General features: G+C 36.6%; 1 protein-coding gene and 1 long non-coding RNA gene across 12 annotated transcripts in view; one reads left to right on the top strand and one right to left on the bottom strand.

Moving 5' to 3' along the window:
* The window catches only part of IGSF11 (immunoglobulin superfamily member 11), a 245464-nt gene that overhangs the window by 41960 nt on the left and 180377 nt on the right, over positions 1-23127 (bottom strand). For 2 of the 11 annotated variants that reach the window (NM_001353326.2, NM_001353325.2), the window contains exon 2: positions 6713-6802. The exons of the other annotated variants lie outside the window; for them this stretch is intronic. The gene's annotated coding sequence lies outside the window, so the exon portion shown is untranslated. The remainder of the gene's footprint in view (positions 1-6712; positions 6803-23127) is intronic. 11 annotated transcript variants of the gene reach the window in all.
* On the top strand, positions 560-5725 carry IGSF11-AS1 (IGSF11 antisense RNA 1). Its single transcript, NR_046230.1, has 4 exons — positions 560-670; positions 2346-2474; positions 3352-3519; positions 4533-5725. It is a non-coding gene; the product is annotated as an IGSF11 antisense RNA 1 (long non-coding RNA).

Here is a 23127-nt window from a genome sequence, read left to right on the forward strand (position 1 = left end):
AAGGGCCGAAGTCCAAGCTACACAAGAGGCCAGAAATTTAAGTTCTCATTTCTAACACTGGGGAGGTAGACTCATAATGTGGGAATTCCTCCAAATAGAAATACTATTCAAAATATGATTTGTCAGCCATGAATACGACTATGCTGACTACAGCAAGCAACAAATGAAAACAATAACAATTATGTCTTTCTCCTTCTTCTCTCCTACCTCTTCTAAGCCTATCTTTGTCAAGTTGTCTGTGTATTCCTTTATCTTGTCGGCTTTGCAGGGTGAAAAGATGAAACTACTGAAGACCAACAGGCTTCCTGTCTCTTGTGAAGCCTATGCTCACTGAGGAAGCTACAGTGGGGCAGAGGAGGTAGGAGGGGCTGCCTTTGAGCCTGATAAAGGAGAAAAAATACTACTGGGAGGGGAATGGAAGTTGGCCAAGTTCCTTGACAAGAGGAGATGCATGCTCTCCTTTGCTCAGAGGACAAAGGAAATAATGGTGCCTCAAAGAGTATGGCTGTCCTGGAGACTGGAGCTCTGGTCATCACAACATTCCATGTGTCCTACAAGGCACAGAAGCTGCAGAGCAACACAAAGGATCCTGCGGGCTTGAACAAGGGGCTCGAACAAAAAGCAGTTACTCCACAGAAGACCAGAGGGGTCCTCCCAGCATTGTGGCTCTGTAAGACAGACTGCAGCATATAGAGGGGAGCCTCAATAATTGATAATTATCACAATGATTTTTTTAAAAAGGGGTCTCAGATTTGAATTCAACTTGACATTTTAAAAAACAGATAGACATTTCTTACAAAACTTTGTGGAGCCTAGAAATGATGAGTAAAGTTTAAAAATAAATCTTAATGCCCTAAGCATTATATAAGGACTTTAAAAAAGATCTCTGTGCTTTCAAAAATTTCAGAAATCATAGTTTAAAGACAAGGCAGGGAATGGGCAGAGAAAACTGACAGAATCTAGGGGCTATTTTTTCGCTATTTCAGGATTGTCTTTTATTACAATGATAACCCTCTAGCCAAATCTGAACTTCCATGTGACTGGCCTTTTTCAGAGAAAATAAAATTTCTTGCTGCTTAGCTTTCTAAAGGACTTCTGAAAATCTAGGCTTTTAACTTGGATAATGAATAGGGTGAGAAGAATGTATTTTTCTTTCCTGTATACAGAACACTCTCTGACATTGTGATGCTATAGTTGCATGTCCTTATCAGTCTGGTTACTACATTGAGATTTATATTGGGAAATGCTATCTAGAGTTTCCAGATGGCAAGAGGCCAGATAAAGGGCCTTTGCTGTTAAATACAACCATGTACTCTCAACTTCACCACTTGGTTGAATATAGCTCTACTTGGCTATAATGAGCAAGCTCCATTTGTTTAATGAAGCATTCATATGACAAAAGTGGCTAAATCAACAAGTAGAGTTATTTATGAACAAATAAAGCCATCTGAAACCATCAGGAAGGATGTTACATTCTGAAACCAATTAAATTCTTTTTAAAAATGGCTCAACTGAAATATTTTATTCTTGTTCACCAGTAACACTGCTTCTTTCCAAATTAAACACTATTTTTAAAATTTTTCTTGATTTTTAGATATGTTTGTGTTAGTACTAATTTAACTTCTAACTAGTTTAAAGCATTCTTCAGTTTTTAACATACAAATATTTTAAATGTGGAAGTAAAGAGTTTGGTTATCCTTTTAGAAGTTCTCTTGAAGTCTAGGAATAGAGATAGAGGTAATATGGCATCATCATTAGGTTCTAATACAATGTATCTAGGTTTACTTTCTATGACCTTCAAGGCTCTGCTTAATCTGACCTTTGCCTGTTCTTCCAGCCAGTCTTACAGTACTTTCTTCCACAGTGGGCTTTTCTCAGGTTCAGCAACACACTGCACTCTCCCATCTAAGATTTATGTGGTCTATTGCCTTAGCTTGAAATACACACACACACACACACACACACACACACACACACACACACACACACACGATCCCTCTCATTTCTACCCATCCTTCAGATTTCAAAATTCTGCTGACCTCCAGAACAGACTACCCTTCCTTTTTAAATGCCCTCATGACACCCTGTACTTCCTTGATATAGTCACGACACTTTAAATTCTCTTAATAGAGGCCTTTCTCAATTTGATTCTAAGTAGAACCTATATGCTCGGGTCTCAGCACACAGAGACCATAATACAGTAAATGTTCAATATATTTGATGTTCAATGTACTTGATGCTATTCATCAAGAACTTATGTGCCAAGTATTGTTTTAGGCGGTTTATATAAAGCTTAGTAACAAACAAGACTTGGAGGTGATATGATTATTAATCGTATTTTACAGATGAGGAAACTGAGACCCAGAGATGGAACTGGGATTCAAAACAATGTCTAGTGTGACTCCAGAGCCTTTCCTAACTCCTACTTAAAGCCTCTGAGGAATGCTGAAAAGAGCACAGGACATAGAATCCAGGTACAGCTACTGACTAATTGTGTAGCCTGGGGCACATTATTTTAACTTGTTGGCTTTAGTTTTTTGACATCTTTAAGAAAAGGCATAAAAATATCTGCCTCACAAAATCACTTTGAAGAAAAATACATTAAATGCCTTGCACAAAGGAGGTTTTTAATAAATAGCAATTGAATTTGATCTCAAAAAATAACCTAACATACAAATAAGCAGGGAAAAAAAACCAGAAAACAGAGGAAAGAAAATAGCATGTATTCACCTAGTCATATAATCGTCCCAGTAGCATCAAACTTCTCAAGAAAATTGTGGTCATACTCTTATTTTGACAGAGACCTACAACTGTGATTATTAAAAGTAATACAAAGTTACTCTTAAGCATATATTAGGAAGAAGCTTATTTTGGCATGAGTTATTACATATCTATGCTTTCCACCCTGTCACCTCAGAGTAGTCAAAAAACTTCCCATGATGAAGCCGTGGTGAAATTCAAAAATGAAATGTAAATGAGAAGTAGGAAAGAAATGTTAAAAAACAAAAATTGGTAGGAAATGAAAAGATAAGACTAAATGAAACCACAGAGTGCCGGAAGAATAAGCAAGGAAAGAATAGAGGAAGATAATGGGGATAGAAGGCACTGTATTGTTGACAGCATCTGATCTAGAGATTAGTGTTATTTCTAAGCAGATTAACTAAATCCCAACTGTTCCACATCAGGTCCTTTCTCTAAGCTTTTCTTACCTCATATCAGCAAATAAAAAATAAATAAAATTTTAAACACACAAATGAAATTAAAGGAAAAAACCACCCACACAAACCAGAAATGTCCTGGGTTGACAATTCATCCTAATATGCTTATTGTCTCCTTCTGTTCTGTGCCTAGATTAAAATGATGAAAGTCATCAACCTTAAAAGAAGCAAAAAAGAAGAGAATTAGCTCCTCTGTGTAATTTTTTTAAATATAGCATCAAACCATCTTCCCGTCAGCAACAGGCACTGCAGTATTGAAGATCATCACATGAGGGCAGAGGGCGTAAAAAAGGATGGTGTGGTAGGAGACTGTTATTTCTGTCCCAGATACAGAGAAGAACTTTTAACCTTATTGTGCTTTTCCTTATCATAACCTTCTCCATAGCAACCACAGAACTGCAGTAGCAAGAAACAGATGGGAAGACAAAAAATATACGTACATTATTAACCATTGGCTACACACACACACGCACACACACACACACACACACAAACATATATATATATATAAATCCGGAAAAATGAATTCAGTAATGTTTTTTTAAAAAAATCACACAACTTCCCCCCGAAATTTCATATTGCTATGGAAGACTAACCACTAAAACACTAGGCTAGCATAGTATTATTGTAATTTTTCTATAGCACTTATACTTGCAACCTATTTATAGCACTTTACAACAGATTTAATCTCTAAAATGAGCCTATTTTACTTAAAAAAAAAAAAGAAGAAGAAGAGGAGGAAAGAAAGAAATCTTTTGAGGCCCAACAAACAGATTTCTCAATGCTTAGTCCTGAAGAATGGGCTTTCACCTCCCTTACTATTCCTGAATAAGACTGACATAGTAGTCATGTTATAGGATTATGACTTTGTGTCCAATGTATGTCATACTGCTGGTGAAAAGCACTTCTTACCCCATTAGTCATTCTCCTGAGTTTAAAACCAGAAAATCTAGAAAGGGTCACCACTAACAAGCATTTTTATGACAAGGTAAAACAATAAGAGTACAGTCACTCTTTGGGCACAACGCTCCCTACTCTGCTATCACTGTTTCTTTATTTTGGCTTAACGTTTTTAACTGCTTAACAAATGCACATGGCCGGGCGCAGTGGCTCACGCCTGTAATCCCAGCACTTTGGGAGGCCAAGGCGGGCGGATCATGAGGTCAGGAGTTGCTTCCACCAACTTCTTAGCTAAAGGGTTGAGAAAATTGTTAAGAATTTAAGGTACTACAACTGCTTAAACAATATTAGTAATTTCCTTCCAAATAATTTTTAAAATTATTCTCTTTTCTCTCCTCCTAAAACAACTTCCAGTTGAGACCAGAAGCAGCAGCAGTCCTCGACATCAACTACAACTTTCCTTCGCACAGTGCATACCCTCTGATATACTGAACCCAACGCCTATCCTCCAGCCCCCTAAGAACTAGAGAGGGAGCCTCACAACATTCCAATTTAATCCTTCAGAAAATTCATTACTCTTCAAAGTTGTCTGTGGTTTTGTGACAACGATATGACTAGGTGCAAAATGGCTTGCAACTAATTAACAAACATAGAAGCATCCAACAAACATATACGTGCACAATCTGAGGATTTAGGGATGAAATCAGTTATCCAGGTTAGATATCAACAAAAGAGCAGTAATTATAAAGTTTCATGAAGAAAGTGGCTGTTGAGGTGTGGATTATGTAAGTAAGACTGACAACAAGAAATGATTTTGTTATAATCCAGAAGTAAAACTAAATAAATGTTCTTTAAATTGATGGATAAATAAGAAAGAATTTATTTACAACAGTAAATAAATCCAATACTTGTTATAAATAAGATAAAGCTGGCTATAAATTCACATTTTCATGTGAGCGTTTTGAAGTATGTGGACATAAAAAACACACACCTCAAGCATACTTCTCAATGATTTCTGATAAAGAACACACCTTTGTAACCAGCACATGGTGTAAAACCAGAAACAGAACATTACCAGATTCCTAAACAAGCCTTCTTTGTGCCCCTTTTTAGTCACTACCCTCCCCCATTCAAGGTAACTTCTATCTTGACTTCTAACACCACACTTTTAGTTTTGCCTATTGTTAACTTGATATAAATAGAATGATACTGTATATTTTGTGTGTGTTTGGCTTCTTCTGCTCCAACTTTTGTTGGTAAGGTTTATACAGATTATTAAATATAGCTATAGTTCATTTATTTCTATTACTATGCAGTATACTTGGATTCAGGAATACACCATAACTTAATCATCCATTCTATTGTTGACTGGTTTGGCAATTTTCTAAACATACGCAAATTCTATGAACCAGCAATTCTATCCCGTGTATGTGTATATATACACACATGTTAAATATATACACAGAAACATGCTGTGAAAGTGCTTTGCAAATGGCAAAATGTAAAATGTAAGGAATGTTACCAAAGAGCTGAAACGCACTGTGTCTTTCTTGCAACACAGATTCTTGGACATATCAGATAATAAATGTATTTTGTATTGAAAATAAGATATTGCCACTGTTGCGCTCAGAAATTACTATAAGAATTCAACGGTTGTGGGAGGAAAAGGCAGAGGAGTACTTATCTGCAGGAAATCTGCTGGGGCACGGCAGGTCTCAGGGACTTGTGTCTACATGAAAACTTGAGACTTCTGAAAGAAGTGGATACGAAAGCAGCATGCTCAGCCCCAAAACACAAGAAATGAAGTTCCCACAAAATGGGAGATTACAGAATCCTTAACTTGACCAGAAACTCAAGTTAAGTGGGGAAAAGGTCTACATGCTAAAGTTTGGGTCTGGTAAACAGGGTGGTAATAGTCAATGAGGAGGATTAGTGTTGGATGTCATAGTAAATACAGCCATTTGTTGTCCTGTTCTATGGCTCAAACGCAGGGAATTTATCCCTGGTTCCTCACGAGAAAATTGTAAGAACCTTAAAAAGCAAACATTAGGCCGGGCGTGATGGCTCACGCCTGTAATCCCAGCACTTTGGGAGGCCAAGGCAGGCAGATCACGAGGTCAGGAGATAGAGACCATCCTGGCTAAAACGGTGAGACCCCGTTTCTACTAAAAATAAAAAATAAAAAAAAATAGCCGGGCATGGTGGTGGGCGCCTGTAGTCCCAGCTACTCGGGAGGCTCAGGCAGGAGAATGGCGTGAACCCAGGAGGCGGAGCTTGCAGTGAGCCGAGATCGCGCCACTGCCCTCCAGCCTGGGCGACAGAGCGAGACTCCGTCTCAAAAAAAAAAAAAAAAAGCAAGCAAACATTACATTTAAAGGCACAATTTTTTTATATAAAATGATAACGAAGGCAAAGACATCCTGATAAACTTCATAAAATAACTGATAGGAAAATGGATACTCTTCGGCCCTGGTTCAACCAGGGTAGCATAGAGGACAAAGGGCACAAGAGGCACCAGAGAGTCCACAGAAAATGTCAACAGCCACCAAGACCATCTGTCCCAAGAAACCAAAACAAAGAACAAAGATTTTTACCATTCTATTATTGGAGCAGAAAATCACAACTGCTTAACTCCTCTGTTACTATTACTCATGCCATTGTCTCACTAGGATTGCTTTAGCCACCTGAGGAAAAAAAAAAAAAAAAAAAAGTTATACTCTGCCTCAGAGTTGCCCAGAAGCTTAAAAAACCCTATAGGTAGTCTGACCACTCACATTATTGAAAAGAAATACAACACATGAACATATACAGACACAAAAACCACACAAACACCACTTCAAGAATAAGATTCTCCTGAAATCTAAACACTCCATAGTTGTTAACATCTAAGAGGCTTGAACAATGAAGCATGCATAGCTGAAATGTGATGAAACCTCAACCTGAGATCTGTTATCTTTCCTTTGAGGGCTCTAAGCAGTTTCACTTTTGCATGTATTATTCTCAACATTCTTGCAAATTAGGTGGGCATTGCTGCTGTTACCTTCATTTTACACACAAAATAAGGAACGGAGTAATAAAGTAATCCAAAGCTTGCATAAAGTAATCCAAAAAATTTATCAAAGCCAAGACTAAAATTCAAGTCTCATGATGTTCACTTTCTTTCTACTGTAACACACAGCCCCAGGAGAAAGGATTAAGCAAACAGCTGTTCCAGGTAGATCAAAAAGCCTCTGCATACCTTCCCTTAGGGAAAAGTGATGAATTTACTCTAATGGGAGGGTAATGTTTGAAATTAATTTACCAATGAAAATTGGCCTTAGTCCTCAAGCCCAAGGCCTAGAATAAATTAGGTTCTGCTGGAGAGGGGAAGGAACAATTACCAATGCAAACCCTCAATAAAGAGGGAAAATATAAAGAATTATCCCTAATATTTATTGAGTCAGGAATGGAAGTATAAATTTTTACTTCCCATTAACCATATAATACTTGATGCTACCACTCTTTCTAAAGAAACCACAGCACATACACACTCACTCTATACTTTCTCTGTTTAAGGAGTAACATGCAGGCTCCATCATGAATGGCAAAAGAGAAACAATCCTATCCACTAACCTGAATAGCCCTAAGGGATCTGATCCGTTATATCACCTCCTCCCAGCTCAAGCTTTCTCCGGTTAAGTTCTAACAGAGTAAAAATTCTTCAAATCACCATTAAGGTTAAAATTTTGTTATTTCCTATCATAAACAATAAAGCATTATTCTAGTGATAGCAAATGTTGATTGCCACGACGAGATACAACAGTATTATGACACAGTAAAAAATTCCTAAGGTAATATGCCTTTTATATATTTTATAGAGAATATTCAAGGTTAAGGTTTCTCACTGATGTATTTCTCCTAGTGGGTGAAAAAAATACACACACGCAAACATATATATACCCCAACTCAATTTTCCCCATCTTGCCTGGAAAGCTATTAATAATGTATCTATATAATAGATACATTATAATAATACATTATAATAATGTATAAATGATTCCATTTATATCAAGTTAATAATAGGCAAAACTAAAAGTATGGTGTTAGAAGTCAAGACAGAAGGTCATGTGGGAAAATGAATTACTCTGTTCCCCTATGGAATTTTCTCCTCAACCTGGACAATCAACTAATGCCAGAGGCCTACAGTCACCAAACCAAGAGCTTTGATGGGGTTGGGGGAACCTCAAAAACAAACTTGTAAGCTGCTGCTTGGGAGCAGATTAACAGCTAAGTAGCATAAGACCAGTCTTACAGTACTGTGTATTACAGGTCTGCTGGCTCTGGCTTGGTGATTTCTCACCAAGGAATGGGTAAGTTGGTAGACAGTAATGAATGAATATATTTACAAGCCATTAGGTCAGCTCTATCCAATAGAACTTTCTGTAATGATGAAAATGTCCTGTATCTGCACCACCCAACATAGTAGCAGCCACATGTGGCTATTCAGCATCTGAATTGTACCTAATGTGACTGAGGAACTGAATTTTAATTTAGATGTCCACATGGGGCTAATGGCTAGCATGACAGATAGCACAGCTTTAAATACTCAGTCTTTTTATAGAACTAAGCTATGCTTGATGCATGTATACCTTATATCAGGGACTGCAACTGGTGATTCATAGACCAAAGCTGGCTGACAAATGAGTATGGTTTGGTGATCATAGTATTTTGGCTTTTAATCTAAATTGAAACTTATAGACAGGGTACTCCCCAGTTGGCCACTGTATCTTAACATTTTCTAATTCTCCATCACACAGATACAACTACACACACACATAAGCATTTGATTTTTCTATCCTACAAAATGTGGTAATATTATTTTTCAGATTCTTTTTCACAAAACATCACTTCAAGAAAGCTTCAAGTGATATTTCTTTTAAAAATAATAATAGACTAATAATAATATCTATCCCTTTATTGGTTATTTACTATGTGTTAGGAACCATTCTAAGTTCTTCACCCATATTAGTTCAACCCATCAGTATCGACTGGGATTGGTTCCAGGACACCCCCCAGACACCAAAATCCCCAAATGCTTAAGTCTCTTATATAAGATGGTACAGCATTTGCATGTAACCTACAAATATTCTCTCAAATACCTTAAATCATCTCTAGATTACATACAATACCTAACACAACGTAAATGCTATGTAAATATAGTATTGTTTCTATTTGTATGTTTTATCATTGTGTTTTTTTAAAATTTTTTCCCAAAATATTTTCAATCTGTGGTTGGTTGAATCCATGGCTGCATAACCCACAAATATGGAGGACTGACTGTATACATACAGACATACCTCAGAGATATTAGAGATTTGCTTCCAGACCACCAAAATAAGGTAAAAATCTCAATAAAGCAAGTCATACATATTTTTTGGTTTCCCAGTGCATATAAGTTGTATTTACACTATACTGTAGTCTATTAAGTATGCAGTAGCATTATATAAAAACAGTACATATCTTAAAGTAAAAAACACTTCATGGCTAAAAATGCTAACGATCATCTGAGCCTTCAGTGAGTCATCATCTTTTTGCTAATAGAAGGTCTTGCCTCAATGTTGATGGCTGCTGAATGATCAGGTTAATGGTTACTGACAGCTTGTGTGGCTGTGGTAATATGGCAACAGTGAAGTTTGCTACTTTGACACTCCTTTCATGAAAGATTTCTCTGTAGCAGGCAATGCTGTTTGATAGCATTTACCTACAGCAGAAACTCTTTCAAAATTGGAGTCAATCCTCTCAAATCCTGCTATTATCATCTAAGTTGATATGATATTCTAAATCCTTTGTTGTCAGTTCAACATTGTTCACATCTTCACCAGGAGTAGATTCCATCTCAAGAAACCATTTTCTTTGCTCATCCAGAAGAAGCAACTTCTTATCTGTTAAAGTTTTATCATGAGATTGCAACAATTCAATCACATCTTCAGGCTCCATTTTTTTAAGATAGAATAAGCTTCTAAGATAAAGATGATTGAGCATTTGTCAAACTAGGGTATAAATATTACTGGAATTTCCCATGATTTTTTCAGAAAACTTGTAGATACACAAAAATGAGAAGTAAAAATTAGATCTTAAAACTGAAATATGACCCATAAGACACAAGCACTTAAAGGAATTATATTAATAAAGTTTTGAATGCACTGATCAAATAGTGAAATCACTTTATTTGGAAAACTCCTGTTTTTATGTTGTTATTTTTCCTGAGATCTTAAAATTATTTTTTAACTTTTTTTTATTTCCATAGGTTTTTGGGGAACAGGTGGTGTTTGGTTACATGGATAAGTGCTTTAGTGGTGATTTGTGAGATTTTGGTGCACCCATCACCTGAGCAGTATACACTGTATCCAGTATGTAGTCTTTTATCCCGCATCCCCCTTCCAACCTTTCCCCACTTTCCCAAAGTCCATTGTATTATTTTTATACCTTTGAACCCTCACAGCTTAGCTCCCGCCTGTGAGTGAGAACACATGATGTTTTTCTATTCCTGAGTTACTTCACTCAGAATAATGGTCTCCAGCTCCATCCAGGTTGCTGTAAATACCATGATTTCAACGCTTTTTATGGCTATTATTTCATGGTACACATGAATATATACCACAATTTCTTTATCCACTCGTTGATTGATGGACATTTGGGCTGGTTCCATATATTTGCAATTACAAATTGTGCTGCTATAAACACACATGTGAAAGTATCTTTTTGTATAATGACTTCTTTTCCTCTGGGTAGAGACCCAGCAGTAGGATTGCTGGATCAAATGGTAGTTCTACTTTTATTAATAGTTATTTAAGGAATCTCCACACTGTTTTCCATAGTGGTTGTACTAGTTTACATTCCCACCAGAGGTGTAAAATTGTTCCCTTTCTACCTCATCCATGCCAACATCTATTATTTTTTGATTTTTTTTATTATGGCCATTCTTGCAGAAGTAACATGGTATCGCATTGTGGTATTGATTTGTATTTCCCCAATCATTAGTGATGTTGAGCATTTTTTCATATGTGTGTTGGCCACTTGTATGTCTTCTTTGGCAAATTGTCCCATGGCCTTAGCCCACTTTTTGGTTGGATAGTTTGTTTTTTTCTTGCTAATTTGTTTGAGTTCCTTGCAGATTCTGGATATTAGTCCTTTGTCAGATGTACAGACTGTGAAGATTTTTTCCCACTCTGTGGGTTGTCAGTTTACTCCGCTGATGGTTTCTTTTGCTGTGCAGAAGCTTTTTAGTTTAATTAAGTCCCATCTATTTATCATTGTTTTTGTTGCAGTTGCTTTTGGGTTCTTGGTCATGAGGTCCTTCCCTAAGCCAACGTCTAGAAAGGTTATTCCAATGTTATCTTCTAGAATTTTTATGGTTTCAGGTCTTAGATTTAAGAACTTGATACATCTTGAGTTGATTTTTGTATAAGGTGAGAGATGATTCCATTTCATTCTTCTATTACATGTACCTTGCCAATTATCCCAGCACCTTTGTTAAATAGGGTGTCCTTTCCCCACTTACTTTATCTTTTTCTTTGCTTTGTTGAAGATCAGGTGGTTGTAAGTATTTGGCTTTATTTCTGGGTTCTCTATTCTGTTTCATTGGTCCATGTGCCTATTTTTATGCCAGGACCATGCTGTTTTGGTGACTATGGCCTTATAGTGTAGTTTGAAGTCAAGTAATGTGAAGCCTCCAGATTTGTTCTTTTTACTTAGCCTTGTTTGGCTATGAAGGCTTTTTTGGGGGGTTCCATATAAATTTCCAAGTCTAGTTATTTTGCTATTTCCAACACATCTGCAGTGACTTCCTTGAACCCCTCAAGGTCATGCACAAGGGTTGGAATCAACTTCTTACAAATTTCTGTTAATGCTAATATTTTGACTTCCTCCTATGACAAAAATGTTCTTAATGGCATCTGGAATTGTAAATCCTTTCCAGAAGATTTTCAGTGGACTTTGCCCTGATCCATCAGAGGAATCACTCTCTATGGCAGTGACAAAATGCATCAAACAGCCAAATTGTGAATGAAAAGGATAAGTTGTGTGTTCACTGGAGTAGCATTTTTAATTTCCTTCAATACTTATGAAATGTATTTCTTAAATAGGAAGACTTGATAGTTGAAGTTATTCCTTGATTGATAGACCACAGAATGAATAAATGTGGGTAAATGCTATCAAATGGTGAAATCACTTCAAAACCACAATGCGATACCACCTTACTCCTGCAAGAATGGCCATAATAAAAAAAATAGATATTGGCATGGATGAGGTAGAAAGGGAACAATTTTACACTCCTGCTGGGAATGTAAACTAGTACAACCACTATGGAAAACAGTGTGGAGATTCCCTAAAGAACTACTAGTAAAAGTAGAACTACCATTTGATCCAGCAATCCCACTACTGGGTATCTACCCAGAGGAAAAAATGTCATTATATGAAAAAGATACTTTCACATGCATGTTTATAGCAGCACAATTTGCAATTGCAAAAGTATGGAACCAGCCCAAATGCCCATCAATCAATGAGTGGATAAAGAAATTGTGGTATGTATGTATGTATATGTACATACACACACACACACACACACACACACACACACACATACACACACACACCATGGAATACTACTCAGCCATATAAAGGAATGAAATAACAGCATTCACAGCAACCCAGATGGAACCGGAGACCATTATTCTAAGTGAAGTAACTCAGTAATGGAAAACCAAATATCATGTGTTCTTACTCACAGGTGGGAGCTAAGCTGTGAGGGTTATCATCTATAATTTTTATGGTTTCAGGTATTAAAGTCTTTGAACAATCTTGAGTTGATTTTTCTATAAGGTGAGAGATGAGGATCCAGTTTCATTAGCTGTCATGAAAACAACATTAATCTCCTTGTACAGCTCCATCAGCACTCTTGGCTGGCCAAATGCATTGTCAATGAGCATTAATATTTCGAAAAGAATCTTTTTTTTTCCAAGCAGTAGGTCTCGACAGGTGGCTTAAAATTTTCAGTAAACCCTGCTATAAACAGATGTGCTATCACCCAGGCTTTGTTATTCCATTTACAAAGCACAGGTAGAGGAGCTTTAGTGTAATTCTTAAGGGCTCAAGGATTTTCAGGATGGTAAATGGGTGCTGGTTTCCACTTAAAGTCACCAGCTGCATTAGCTCCTAACAGGAGAGTCAGCCTGTCCTTTGAACCTTTGGATCCAGTCATTGACTTCTCTCTAGCTATGAAAGTCCTAGATGGCATTTTCTTCAAACAGAAGGCTGTTTTTCATCTCCATTGAAAATCTGTTGTTTAGTATATGTACCTTCATCAATGATCTTAGCTAGAACTTCTGCATAACTTGCTGCAGCTTCTAAATCAGCACTTGCTGCTTTATCTTGTACTTTCATGTTATGAAGACAACTTCCTTCCTGAAACCTCATGAACCAACCTCTGCTAGCTTCAAACATTTTTCTGTGCCTTCCTTGCCTCTCTGTCTTCACAGAATTGAAAAAAATTAGGGCACTGCTCTAGATTAGGTTTTGGCTTACAGAAATGTTGTGGCCGGTTTTATCTTTTATCCAGACCATCAAAACTTTCTCCATATCAGCCATAAGGCTGTTTCACTCTCTTATAAGTTGTGTGTTCACTGGAGTATCACTTCTAATCTCCTTCAAAAACTTTTCCTTTTCATTCACAACTTGAGTGTTTAACACCAAGAAGCTTAGCTTTTGGCCTATCTAGGCTTTCAACATGCCTTCCTCACTAAGCTTAATCATGTCTAGCTTTTGATTTAAAGCAAGAGATGTGTAGCTCTTCCCTTTCACTTGAATACTTTGAGGCTATTACAGGGTTATCAACTGGCCTAATTTCAATATTGTTTTGTCTCAGGGAACAGGCAGGACAGAGGGGAGAAAGACAGGCAAACAGCTGATCAGTGGAGCAGTCGGAACACACACAGCATTTGCTAAGTTTGCCATCTTATATGGCTGTTTATGGCACCCCGAAACAATTACAACAGTAATATCAAAGATTGCTAATTGCTACAAAGCTGCAGAGTTAAGAAAAAAGAGATCACTGACCACAGATCATCATAATAGACAGAGAATAATGAGAAAGTTTGAGATATTGTGAAAATTACCAAAGTGTGACAAAGAAACACAAAGTGAGCATATGTTGTTGGGAAAACAGTGCTGATAGACTCACTAGATGCAGGGTTGCCTTAAACCTTCAATGTGTGAAAAATGTAATATCTGTGAAGCATAATACACTGAAGCACAATAAAACAAGGTATGCCTCTGTGAGTGTGTTGTGGGGCAGGGGGTGGTTTATTAAGAGGAATTGGCTCACTAGATTGGAGAGGCTGAGAAGTCCCATGATTTTCCATCTACAAGCAGGAGTCCCAGGAAAGCCTGGGTGTAACTCAGTCCAAATCTGAGGGTCTAAGAAGCAGTGGACCTGACTATGCAAATCCTTGTCCAAGGGCAGAAGATGAGATGAGACTTGTCAACTCAGACAGTAAGGCAAGAAAAAAAGGTGAATTCCTCCTTCTTTCATTTTTTGTTCTATTCAGGCTCTCAACTGACTAGACGATGTCTACTCACACTGGGGAGGGCAATCTACTTTACTTAGTCCAACTACTCAAATGCTAATCTCAGCTAGAAAGACCCCACAGACACACTCAGAAAAAAATGTTTAATCTAGGTACCCACAGCCCACTCAAGTTTACACATAAAATTAAACAGAGTTAATTATTAATTCAATTTCTTTAACAGACATAGGCTTGTTTAAATTATTTCCTCTCATGTGAGTTCTGGCAAATTGTGTCTTTTAAGGAATTGGTCCATTTCACCTAACAAATGTGTCGACATAGAGTTGTTAATAGTATTCTCTTATCAGAATCAAATTTTGAATATAAGAAGTCTGCTCCCAGAGTGCATGCATGCTCTTACTCATCACACTCGCCATTCCTTGTAGGCTAGCTTATTTTCTCCAATCACTATTTATTTCACAAGCAACATATTTTAAACATAATTTTTTCAATGCAATTACTAGTCTCCACTTTACCTCTGTTTTGAGGTAAAGTAGAAAGTAATTCCTATTTTGAAAGAGCAGTCAACTGCCAGCAGAGGCTTAAGCAGAAAGTGCTCTGTCTATAGGCTAAACAAAGGAACGCCTGGTTTTGTTACCAACTTGACCAAGGATAAAATAACTAGCATTCCTTTCTTTGCCTCCAAAAAGGACATCAACCCACAAACTTCTACCTTTCTTACCTTCTCTGGGCTACTAAGCCTATTACATGTTTCCAATTTGACTAGGAAGACATTAGCAAAATAAGCTAGTTTTACAATAGCTGAAAAGCCCTCCTCATAAAATCAAAGGTGCTAAAATACAAAAGTGGAAGTTCAGAAGGAAAAGAAATATTAAACTTAACAGTGCCTATTCTAGAATCACTTGAAAATCACCTTTTTTCTTCTGTTTCTCAGAATTACAGATACTTCCCCAAATTTCTGTATAGTATTTCAGAGGAGGTAGGAAAAAATTCAAAGTCTACTAAAAGAAAGGTTAAGTAAATTTCACAATTAGCCTTGCCAATGATGAACATCATTACTGTCCTTCCATAAAAGAAGAAAGAAATACGTGAAAGTTGACAAATGTTGGCAATAAACTAGAATCCAGAAACCATTGTTATTACCATTATTCTGACCACCATTTATGCTTTAAAGTGAAAAGGACAGGGAACATAGAATATTTTGTAACTAAATTTGTTAATTTTTCCCTTTCCTTATCACGCTGTATTCAGAGATGCTTATATGAGGACTATGGCCAGGAATCTTATAGCCATGCATTTCATTAGTCTCCAACTTTCCCTAGTCAGTGGAAAAAAAACAAGAAAATGTTATAAGCAGCAAGATAAAAAAATTATTACAAAGCATGCATGCACATTCAGTATAATAAATTCAAGAAATATAAACATTTTATAGTTATGATTGTTTCCACCACTAGAATGAATTCAAAAATGAAGAATGCTAGATTTACTTGCAGTGAGTAAAAAGCTGATATAATGACAAGGTCAGTCTGTGACATTAAGGATTAATAAGTGTGTTTTATAATAGATGTTCTTCAACACTTAATTATCACCAAACACATTATTATAATAACACGATGAAACAGAAGTATAGACAAACAGAGAACAGCTATTTATTAAGGGTGAGTTTTGCCCTTAGAATTGAGTTAGGAACCGTGGAGAATACGAAAGCAGCAAATGAGATTCTCAACATTAATAGAAGTCATCATTTCATTTCATAAATTCCAAGTGCAGACTCCCCCTATTTCCTTCTGGCAGAAATTCTACTTTTGCTGAATTCTATGGACTGGAGAGGCACCTACAAAATACGTGTAGGGGAGAGAAGGCTGTTTTGCTGGTAAATAATGTTGGATACATCATATTAGATGTTAAAGCTGCACTTTAGAGGTGCCATACGGATTTGGTAAGGAGTACAAATAGAAAACCCATTCTGCAATGTGTGTAGAAGAGTTTTCTTTAGACAGAGAGTCTATTATGATGCTCCCTGCCACGAATTGTGGACCACAAGTCTCCGCTTAGACAAGATACAAGCCTCTAAGTAACATTCCTGATTGAGATTACATATGCTACTGGATGTCAGAAAAGGAAGAGATAGACATGGCTTGGCTCAAAAGGGAAAGACTGTGGACAGTTTGAGTAGTGAGATATGGAAAAACAGGGAGAAGAATAAACAGCAAGGAAGTGGTACCATACTCTAGACAAACGAAACTCCAATAAATGCCTTACAGAGTTATGTCAAGGGTTATTCATGATGGAATAATAGGTGAGTAATAACATACATGGATAACGTGACCCAACCAAACAAAGGACTACCAAAGCCATTCTTAGCCAGTTGTCACTGTTGAATTCACAGAAAGAGAGCAACTACTATGAATAGTTAGTGGTTTTCCGCAAAGAAAACAGACAATAGGTATCCTAAATTTTTAGGGGAGCATGGCCTGAGGAAGTCTTGATTAGAGAGAATAGCTGTGTATGTGTACCCATGTGTGTTTAATTACTGCTGCTGCTGTTGTTGGTAAGAAACAACAAATGTGGGCCGGGCGCAGTAGCTCACACCTGTAATCCAGCACTTTGGGAGGCCAAGGCGGGCAGATCACGAGGTCAGGAGATCGAGACCATCCTGGCTAAAATGGTGAAACCCCGCCTCTAAAAATAAAAAAAAATTAGCTGGGCGTGGTGGCGGGCGCCTGTAGCCCCAGCTACTCGGGAGGCTGAGGCAGGAGAATGGCGTGAAGCTGGGAGGCGGAGCTTGCAGTGAGCGGAGATCGCGCCACTGCACTACAGCCTGGGTGACACAGCGAGACTCCGTCTCAAAAAAAAAAAAAAAAGAAATAACAAATGTGTCGAACAAAAAGGTTATACACCCAGGTAATAATGTGGCTCAGTCCTTAAAGTTAAGGCTCTCAAAGGATCACTGAAATTAAAACTGTTTAATATCTAGAACTTTGAAAATGTTCCTATTATCTAGCCCAGTAATTCCATTTCAAAGAATATATACCAAGAAAAAAATCAAATATGCCAAGATTTACAAAGAAATGTGTGTAGCATGGCATTACTTAAGATGGTGAAATTTTAAAAATAACCTAGATGTCCAGCAACAGAGAAATTGTTCATCAAAAAACTATTATACGGCTATTTTTCTAACTGCTTTTGAAAAATACTTAGGGAAAAGGGAAACTGATTGTGTATTAGGTGATGAAAATGCAAGATATAAAATTCCATAAAATGTATTTTATCATATACGTATGTATAAAATGTATCCTATACAGGTATTAATAATGCAAATATAGCTAATAAAAAATTACTATTTTGCCGGTTGATTATTCTTAATAGTATTTATTCCTCCTAGCTACAACATATACAATTTATTTCAGACAATTTAAGGGGAAAAAAACAAAAAAATAAAATAAAAATCACTTATAATATCACTACTCAGAGATGAAGACTGTTGGTGTATATATACACCTAATCTTTTCCCATGCATTTATTGTATTACTTTTATAATCACATAGTAAGGCTACAAATCTATTTTTTGGCAGGGGTTAATTTTTGTGGTAACATATTACAAATTTACTTTTGAAACATTCAACTGTATAAAGAAAATGCAGCTTCTTTCATTTATATAGTTGATTTAATCATCCTTGGGAACCCCATCCTAGTGGGTAGTGGAAAAACAGACTTGCTAATCAGCAATATTTCAAGCTTTTCCAGCTTAGACAATCCTTTGGTTTACACATTCATTTATTTGAAATCTGACCTGCCAAAACAGCTGGTTTAAATGATCCCCTTTGGATGACTCATGGGCTTCAAGACAGTCTCTTAGAGCTCCACTCCCATCCAGGAAGATTAAAAGACACAATCTGTAAAGAAGCTCACAAGAGCCTTCTGGTGAGGGGGAGGGCTTTGGTCCAGCTGATGTCCCTAGGCATCATTGCTGTTGTCAGCTACAAAGTGACCCTCTTCCTGGGGCCAGTTCCTGCTGAGATGTGGCTGGTCCTAGGCTTCTTTGAAGAAACTTGCGGGCACCTGCACTGTGGTCGTAGACAGTTGACTCTGCTAACAAAGTCCCTGCATAGAGCCTGCTCTGCTCCAAAACTAGGCTTCTGCAAGTTCACAGGCTCTTTCATACATCCCCACCATACTTATTCCTTAAAGCTCAGGGCACTGTATAATACACAAAGGGGCAATTTTCCTATATAAAAATTATACCTCAAAAAAGCTATTTTTTACAGTGGTAAAGGAAAATTTGTTTAAAATGTTCACATTAACAAAAAGAAAAGTCTCAAAATAAATTAATTAACCACACAGTGAATAAGTTAGAAATTGCATAGAAAAATAAACTCTAAAAACATAGGAGAAAAGGAATTTTTTAATGATCCTACAGTTCTTGGCCTAAGGTGAGTGTATAAATGGCAGGATCCAGTGGCAAGATCCAGTGGATACTAAGGGTATGGGAGTGAGTTCAGACAATAATAGGGTGCACTGTTTGCAATCAACTTAAAAATAATAGTATAGCTCACTAAAAGTCAGTTTGCTTCTTGTTGTCACTATGAAATAGCAATTTTAAACAATGTAATTAATAAATTACTCCCTGTTAAAATGTGTTGGTCTATGTGCCCAATAATTGCCATGGTTACTGTTAAGTTTTAGCAATAGCTACGTAATATATGTGTAAATGTTGAACCAACACATTCTCATTTCTTATACTTTAATAAATGTGGTATGCCCCATGAAAGTTATTTCAGAAGGAACACTAATTATATGTGATTTACAGATAGGTAATTATATGGCCTGGACTCTGATACATGTTTGTTGGAAAGACTTGGAGCTCATTTCAGGTGTAGTTTCTGTCTCTGACCCATATATGTCTCCAACTACATATTCCTGTGCTTAAAGGTTAGATTCTAAATAATCAATGAAAGAAAGAAACACAATTTGAGATATTTCCATTTTGTTCTTCTACCTGCAAATTATTTTCTGAAATTTGTAGAGTTCACTCTATTGGAAGTTTCTTCACAAGTTCTCCCCTTTCTTTTGTCAATTATTATATTATTGTAATTACATGACTATAATTTATAAGTTTTCCTTTTTGTACTATAATACTTTGTTGCTGATATGATTATATGCATACAGATTTCAATAAAAAAATTTTCTGCCATTATTTGTTTCATTTCATTATTATTAGTGAAAATAATTTTGTCATATAGGAAAGGTGAGTCTTAAAAAATAATCTACTCTGGTTGTCAAGCACTCTGGAGAGGTCACTGGTGGGACCATTTAATAAAATGGAAAAATACAGGTGGAAGAAGTATTTGGGGGAAAATGACTTTGGGTTCAATTTTAGACACTGAGTTTGATGGTTCTGAGGGACAGACAGGTGAAAACGACCAGTATGTAGCCATAAATAAAGGTAAAGAGCAAGATCTGGAAATCACAAAAAAGTCGGCCATCAAGGCAGTGAAACTGAACAAGAGATCATCCAAGTAAAAGACAAAAAATAAAGGCTAGAATTCTGTGGGCATACCTACAAATGAGTGGTAGGCAAAGGAAGCAGAACTAGAGAATGAGAATAAGAAGGAATAACTGGAAGGGCAAGAAAAGCACCTAGACAAGGGAGAAATAAGGAGGAAAACAGTAATTACAGGTATAAAAAGCTATAAACATCAATTTGTATGTGTAAGTCAGTTTATCATGAAGCCTGCAAGCCAATAACACTAGATTTGGCTACCAGGAGGTCTCTGGTAGTCTTTACAAAAGCAATTGCCAAAGAGCAGTGCCACTTTGCTGACACAGATGATTGGACAATTAGAAGCCCACACTGCCCACTCTAGGTGAGCCATAGTGGAAATCTCTGGGCTCTGGTGAACTATAGAATGTGGTCCCTGAACCACAGGCATCAGGATTATCTGTCATACCCGCTTAAAATGCTGATTCAAGGACCCTACTTCAGATACTCAAATCAGAATCTCAGAGGTAAAACTCAACACTATGTATCCTAAGCACCCAGGTAATTCTTAGGCATGCTAAAATTTGAGGACCACTGCAGTATATGTTCTTCAAGGTCCATTCTACCTCTGATATTCTGGACTTCAATGGATTGTCTCTCTCTGACAATAGGATGTGAAATCATGATTACTAAAATCAATGCAGAAGTCAGCAATTACATGATAAACATGCAATAATCAGAAGCACTGAGGGCAGAAATAATACTTTTTATTTACATCAATTCATTTTGATCATGTGATATCTTTATTCTGATGAGGGTTGAGGTGCTATAGCCCTAGGGGATAATTATGTTCATAGATAGCTAAGAGACTCATGGAGATAGGATTCTGGGCCAGGAAAACTATGAAACAAGAATTAAAAAAGAAAAAGTTCTGTTTAGTAGTACTGAAGTGCTAAAAAGAAGTCAGAGAACCTAAAAGCACTAGATTCCTATTGTTAGATGTATTCAGAAATACTTAGTTATTGTCTTTTGGTTGGGAAAAGAATTATATTTCTATTTATCTATATATAGAAATAAAGAGTCAATGTTTCTAATCTATATAGAGAGACAGAGAATCAATGTTTTTTTCCTTAGGGAGGCTACAATTTTAATTAATATTCTCTAATTGACATTGACTTTAATTGACTGGTGACAGTCTTATGATGGGCCCCTCTGCCAAGCTTCCTGAGTGAGAATCACAACGAGCTCCATTATGAAGAAGAGAAGCCTTTTGTTCTTAGTGATCTCTGTCTAAGCAATGTTTTTTAGGTCTCAGAATATGACAGCCAGAAAGATCCTTGAGAGACCATTTAATTCAACCTTCTATACCTTACTTTCTAAAATCATTACATCTACCCATCCCCACCCCCAAAGTCTAAAGGATCTGCTCACTTCACCTGAGTTCTTTCACAGTTATGTCCTTTTGACTCACCTACAGCATCCTATACATTGGATTACCTTGGGGAAACTGGTATTCAGGTATACATTACATTATGGGTTTGTATATTTGTTTCAAAGAGTTTTTAATAAAAGAGCAACTAAGTGAAAAAGAAATCAAGAAAGTTGGGTGGGTTAAATCTGTATATGTGTACTAATCATAGCGTTCCATAGACAGTTAACCAACATGCAGACAATGAGTGCAAGTCAGAGGATGGGATGAAGAATGGGCAGAGCTAAAGAGGGAAAAAAAGGGGTCAGGACAGAAGACTTCCCACCAGTATGTCACAGGCTAAGAAGAGGGTCTGAAAACACTAGCTTAAGGTAAGTACACACTTTACAGCAAATACACAAATTATTTGCAGGAAAAAAGCATGGAGAAGGGAGGAGATACAGATAGGAAGAAGGGAAGACATTTTACACTTTTAACTACCTATTAGGATTTCTTAGACTCTGAGCGTATGGAGTATTTTCACAGGTAATGAAAATTGTTTTAAATTCAAGTAAGATCACTTCTAAAGTACTTAATTCAAATAAAAATCTTACCCAATTTATGAGGAGAATATTAAAAAAACTCATTCTAATGTTTGAATTTCCTATTAGGAAATGTCTACCAAATCTATCATATAGTCTACCAAATCTAACATAAAAGAATTTAAAGCAGTATTTATTTTGTCTTCAGCATTCCATAGCTCATAGTTAGCCTCAGAATACAATAGTTGATATGGTTCAGACTGGAAATATACTGTCCCTTGACTTTTTTCCTAACCACTAAACCCAATTTTCATAATTGTCTTTAAATTTTGTATAACTTCCACGTACTTTATGCACAAGTGACTCCTCTTTGCCGAGAGGTTATGTACCTTGCCCAGAGTTGACAAGAATTCAAGGGCTAGGCCACAAGCAGATCTTAGATTCAGATCCTGAATGTTTTTTCTGGACACAGAATCATTTAAAAATCTGATAAAACTCATAGGCTGATTATCTTCCCAGAAAAATAAACATATAAAAATATACTTTAGCATATAATTTTAGAAAATATAAATAACCCCCAGATCAGGAGCCTTCAATTTAGATAAAGCATGTCTTCTAAGGTACCATACTCAAATTCTAACATGAGCTACATACGGCACCCTAAAGAGACCCAGTGGGATGCCACTCCTTAGCTAAATGTGTGAGCTATAAGGAGTATAAAAAATAAAGGGAGGGAAAAGTAAGAAGCAATGAAAAGAAAATTAACTATGTGATGAGCATCTAAAATGTGTCAGGAATTAATAAATAAAAGAGCTCTTCTCTCTCCTGATTTGTTTTGTTGCTTTTTTTTGGCTCGAAAATGAATCAATGTTAGTAAACACAGTCATCTTATGCCAGATAGAGGTAAAAAAAAAAAAGTCATTAAAATTCTTGAGGAAAACTAGTTCCAAATTATCATAGATCATAAATGTGGTGCTGATCTTCTAAATCTAACAAATATATGTGAGCTGCACTG

Source organism: Homo sapiens, chromosome 3 (genome assembly GCF_000001405.40).
Source record: "Homo sapiens chromosome 3, GRCh38.p14 Primary Assembly".
In the NCBI taxonomy this organism is placed as follows: Eukaryota; Metazoa; Chordata; class Mammalia; order Primates; family Hominidae; genus Homo; species Homo sapiens.